Below are 5,907 nucleotides of genomic sequence, written 5' to 3'. Positions count from 1 at the left end.
TTTGAATGTGTTTGCTCTTGCTTCTCTAGTTCTTTTAATTGTGATGTTAGGGTGTCAATTTTAGATCTTTCCTGCTTTCTCTTGTGGGCATTTAGTGCTATAAATTTCCCTCTACACGTTGCTTTGAATGTGTCCCAGAGATTCTGGTATGTTGTGTCTTTGTTCTTGTTGGTTTCAGAGAACATCTTTGTTTCTGCCTTCATTTTGTTACGTACCCAGTAGTCATTCAGGAGCAGGTTGTTCAGTTTCCACGTAGTTGAGTGGTTTTGAGTGAGTTTCTTAATCCTGAGTTCTAGTTTGACTGCACTGTGGTCTGAGAGACAGTTTGTTATAATTTCTGTTCTTTTACATTTGCTGAGGAGTGCTTTACTTCCAACTATGTGGTCAATTTTGGAATAACTGTAGTGTGGAGCTGAGAAGAATGTATATTCTGTTGATTTGGGGTGGAGAGTTCTGTAGATGTCTATTAGGTCAGCTTGGTGCAGAGCTGAGTTCAATTCCTGGGTATCCTTGTTAACTTTCTGTCTCGTTGATCTGTCTAATGTTGACAGTGGGGTGTTAAAGTATCGCATTATTTTGTGGGAGTCTAAGTCTCTTTCTAGGTCTCTAACAACTTGCTTTATGAATCTGGGTGCTCCTGTATTGGGTGCATATATATTTAGGATAGTTAGCTCTTCTCATTGAATTGATCCCCGACATTTTTTAAAGGTATTTGTATTGGAAATCAAAAGTCCTGCTTACTAGTCCAAGTTTTAAAAGAGTTATCAAGCTTTGTGTAATTCATGTAATCTTTCTGAGCCTAATTTTTCTATTCCAAAAGTGTGGTGGCTTTGTAATGTGTCAACTTGAGAAGAGGGAACTGGTTCCTAAAATTCATTTGCTTGTGAATTCCCAGCTGGGGCAGGTCTCGGAGATTGGGAGGGTAGAGGTAAGGCTGCAGCCATGTGGTTCTCACTCTCAGCAGGCAGGTGCAGGGGATTAGGCAGCTCCCACATGTTGTCACTCACCTGCTGGCTCAGTTGGATCCGGTGAGACAGCAATCAGTCCTCAAGCTGCTTCCCCTTCTCTCACATCCCCATTCGTCTTCTCCAAGTCCTGAACCAAGCGTATATTTACTTCTGTGATCAAGAGTGCCAGCTCCTCCTGCAGGACACCCACACCATCAAGGCCAAGGGCAACAAGAACTGACACAGGTTCAATCCATCCTTAAGGACTCCAACTTGTGCCTCTGGTTCCGTCTCATCCTGACTCTCCCCCAATTTACATATATCTTCCTTGTCCACCCTGCAGGACTCAAACCCCAGGATCAAGTACTAAGAAAACAGCCAGAGAGAGACTTTTCCAATCACCTCCCACAACTGGGTAAGGTCAAATCCTTATAATACATAATAAATAAGCGCATACCTAGCGGCCATGCTTCTCCAATTGAACCATGACTGATATAAGAAAGACGTGGGACTTATTTATTCAAGTCCATGTTTCCATCCAGCCCTGAATTAAGACATGGGGATTTATTTATTAAAGTGTAAGTTTCGTTCCAACCCTAAACTAGAGCATTTTAAAGTAAACTCAAAGTCTCTCTACATCCGTAATCAATAGAAAATCCAGAGACACATCCACTCTACACAAAATTAACAACTGCTGGTTGGACAGTTCAGGGGGAGGTGCCAAGCACACATGGGTATCACCCCTCCTCCCGAAATCCCATGAAAAAGATGACAAGAAGAATTTGAAAGGTATAAACACATAAGAGTCAAGAGAATGGCAGGAGAGCTAACAGTAGGTAAAGAGTTTTAATGGACTGCTAGAAGACATAAAGCAGATGGAAGAATGATGACAAATAAAGGGAAAAGAAGGAAAGTCAGCCTGGAATATAAACGAAGGGGCTGCACGACCTGAAAAAACTCTACTCTGTACTCTGAGATAGCAGGTTACATGAGGCAGTGGTGTGAGAAGTGGTGCTGAGGAGTAATTGAAGGCCTGCAGATGGAGCATGTAGACAGCCCAACCTCCAACTCTTCCCTACCACAGCGCACAAATCTGCCGTAACCGGGAACTTCTCCTACCAAAAATTGAGGACAGTTGATTTTCTCTTTCACTTCTTTTTATTGTGATAAAATACACATAACATAAAATTCATATTCTTAACTATTTTTAAATGTGCAGTTCAGTCGTGCAGGTCAGTGTTTTTGGGTTTGTTGTTGTTGTTGTTTTTGAGACAGGGCCTTGCTCTGTCTCCCAGTGCATTGGCACAATCATAGCTCACTGTAGCTTCCACCTCCCAGCTAAAGCAATCCTCCCATCTCAGCCTCCCAAGTAGCTGGGACTCCAGGTGTGCATCACCACGCCTGACTAATTTTTTTTTTCTTTTTTTTTGGAGATGGGATCTCACTATGTTGTCCAAGCTGGTCTCAAACTCCTGGCCTCAAGCAATCTCCCCTCCTCAGCCTCCCAAAGTGCTGGGATTGCATGAGTCACTGTACCTGACCCCAGTTCAGTGTTTTAAAATATACTCATAATGGTTTTTTGCAGGTTTTTTTTCTTTTTCTTTTATTTATTTTTTATTTTTTTTTTTGAGATGGGGTCTCTCTGTCACCCAGGCTGAAGTGCAGTGGCAGGATTACAGCTCACTATAGCCTCAAGTGATCCTCCCATCTCAGCGTCCCAAGTAGCTAGGACTACAAATGCATGCCACCACACCCAGACAATACATTCGTAATGTTGTGGCAACCGTCACCACCATCCATTTCCTTAACTCATTTAGTCTTGTAAGACCAAAACTCTATATCCTTTAAACAATAACTTCCCATTCCGCCCTCTCTCCAGCCCCTAGCAACCACCATGCTACTTTCTGTCTCTGTGATTTTGACCACTCTAAGTAATCTCATCTAAGTGGAATCATACAGTATTTGTCTTTTTGTGACTGGCTTCTTTCACTGAGCATCAGGTTCTTAAGGTTCATCCATGTTATAGCATATTGCAGAAGTTTCTTCCTTTTTAAGGCTGAATAATATTTCATTGTATGTATAGCTCACACTTTGCTTATTCATTCATCCATCGATGGACAGTTGGGTTGCTCCCACATTTTAGCTATTATAAATAATGCTGTTATTAACATGTGTATGCAAATATCTCTTCAAGATCCTGCTTTCAATTCTTTTGAGTATATACCCAGTGGTGGAATTGCAGGATCATATGGTAATTCTATGTTTAGCCTTTTGAGGAACCACAATGCTGATTTTCATCATGGCTGCACCATTTTATATTCCCACCAACAGCACACAAGCATTCCAATTTCTTCACATCCTTGCTGACATTTATTATTTTTTATAGTAACCATCATAATGGATAGAGATGTTCTTAATTTTTTAAAAAATAAAGATATTTAAGAATTTTTTTAAAAAGTTATTCTCAACTTTAAAAACCATCTGGGGAAAATTAGAGGACCTAATAAGGAGTGTAACCAGAGTCAAGCCCTGCATCCAATTCCATGTAGAGGTGCCCCAGCATAACAGCCTGTTCCCCACCTGTCCCATTAAAAAGGCTGACAGTCAGCAACCCAGGTTCTAGACACAGAGCTCTCAATTCAGTCTCTTTATTGCTTTGGTTTTACACATAGACAATGCACCTAATATTTGCAATGTAAAATTAAAAATCAAGCAGTAACCCCCTCCCCCAAAAAACAGAGCACAGATAATTCAGGATACAGAAGATTACTGAAAACACAAGCAAAACAAAATCTGTAAAACCCAGAATTATATTCTATGAATAAATGAGCCATGAGGGAATAAGAAAGAGCTCTTTGAATTAAAAAATGTGGCTACACAATTGCAGAAATTTAAAGAATGCAATGGAAGGATTGAAAGATAAATTTGGGAGTATCTCTTAGTGTATAAGAAAAAAAGATTTTAAAATATGAAAGAAACTTTAAGAGCAAGGGATCAATACGTGTAGTCCAACATCAGATTAACAAGGATTTTGGAAAGAAATGCAGAGAGGAAGAAACTAGCTAGGAAATAATAAGAGAGAATATACCAGAGTTGAAGAAGGACACAAGTTATTAGATTAAACAGAGATTCCTCTAAGTAAAGGCTCGAAGGATGAAAAAAGACTTCTACCTAGATATGGCATTATGAAATTTCAGAATACTAGGGATAAAGAGATAGTAAACATATGCAGAAAAAAAGAAAAGAAAAAAAAAAGGTTTCTTCCTAAAAGAGAACAGAAGTTAGCTTGGCATCAGACTTATCAGCATCGGTGAATCAGGAACTCAAGGGAGCAAGCTCTAAAGGAAAATTATTTCCAACTTAGAATTCCATATCCAGGATGAAGGTAAAATGGACACTTCAAAGTAGGCAAGGAGTCCAAAGTTTACCTCTCATAATCCCTTTCTTAGGGAGCTACTTGAAATTAGAGCCCAGATAAAATAAGAGTATAAAACAAGAAATAAGTCATGTATTCAGGAGACCAACCAAATTCAACCCCAGAGAGCAGCGAGTAGAGATCTAGATTGGAATAGAAAGACAGAGGGTTCTGGGAATTAACAGCAACAAGAAAAGTATGATTTAAAGTTAGAAAAAGTTGAGGCTTTGATAAAGGCAAGTACTGGAGTATTAAAAATATGTATTTGAACTAAATGTTAGTCACAGTCTCCACTGAAAGGCAGAGTAGTGATAACATTAGACCTACAGAGAATAAACCCTAGTATAGTAATGTGCATATCAGTAAACAACATTTACATGCTTAGAGTAATATAAATAACACTTCCTTTTTTTTTTTTTTTTTTGAGGCGGAGTCTGACTCTGTTGCCCAGGCTGGAGTGCAGTGGCACGATCTCGGCTCACTGCAACCTCCATCACCCGGGTTCAAGTAATTCTGCTGCCTCAGCCTCCCAAGTAGCTGGGACTACAAGCACGCACCACCACGCCCGGCTAATGTTAGTATTTTTAGTAGAGATGAGGTTTCACCATATTGGTCAGGCTGTTCTCGAACTCCTGACCTGAGGTGATCCACCTGCTTCAATCTCCCAAAGTGCTGGGATTACAGGTGTGAGCCACCTCACCTGGCCTAACACTTGCTTATTGCTTATAAAATCCACATACAGAGAAATCCTAGGCAAATCTATGATGGTTACAGAATACAATGAAGCAAGTACCAACCCTGAAGTGGCAGGAAGTGGGGCGAGTCAGAAGGAAGGATGTGAGCAGAAATTGCCTTGCCTTACAGAGTGAAGAATCAGGATACAGTGGACAAAATAAGACATGAAGTGTAAGGATGTTGTTTCAGGCTGCACACGTGTCCCAGAGAAGAAGAAACCAAGCATCGTGATAGAACTCTGTTGAGCCAGGCAAAGTATGAATGGTCTGATCTTCCTCCATCATGGAAAGAAACTTATACTGATTCATCAAGAAGCAGGGATAGAAGCCTGTTTATATTGTTATTTATTTTAGAGACTATAAAAGTGACTAACCAAAAGAACCAAAACAGGGATGGTTGGGAAAAACGTGGTTATCTTTGGGCAGTGAGGCCACCTTGACTGGAAGACTGCCCAAGAGTGAAGGTGACAAAGGAACCAAGATCAGGAGACCAAGAAAAGAGGACAATCCAGATCCAACAATATCGCTAGAGTCCCTTGGTCAAGCTGAATATGGAAATGAGCTTTTCCCTATGTAAGCCAATAAAGTCTGCTTTTGAGTTGGGTTTCTGGAACTTGCCATTAAAAATGCCCAATACATGCCAACTACTCCTCCCCTTTCCCTCCCACCTCCCCTCCAGTTAAGGTCTTTGCCTTCTCATCTTTATAAACTTGCATTGCCAGATGCCTTGTGTATATATTTACATAAGAAGTTCAAAGTTCCTAGGTATGCGAGTTAATAGTGGAATTATTTAATTGATAAGTCCAAGTTT

At 40.3% G+C, this 5,907-nt stretch overlaps 1 long non-coding RNA gene across 1 annotated transcript; it reads left to right on the top strand.

Annotated features, from left to right (window-relative positions):
• Nucleotides 1-1,290: 1,290 nt before the first annotated feature.
• On the top strand, nt 1,291-5,700 carry LOC105379235 (uncharacterized). The gene is made up of 2 exons (XR_007060814.1): nt 1,291-1,362; nt 5,227-5,700. It is a non-coding gene; the product is annotated as an uncharacterized LOC105379235 (long non-coding RNA).
• Nucleotides 5,701-5,907: the final 207 nt, after the last annotated feature.

Source organism: Homo sapiens, chromosome 8 (assembly GCF_000001405.40).
Source record: "Homo sapiens chromosome 8, GRCh38.p14 Primary Assembly".
Lineage (NCBI taxonomy): Eukaryota > Metazoa > Chordata > Mammalia > Primates > Hominidae > Homo > Homo sapiens.
Note: the sequence above shows the minus strand (reverse complement) of the source record. Positions and strands in the feature narration are given on the sequence as shown.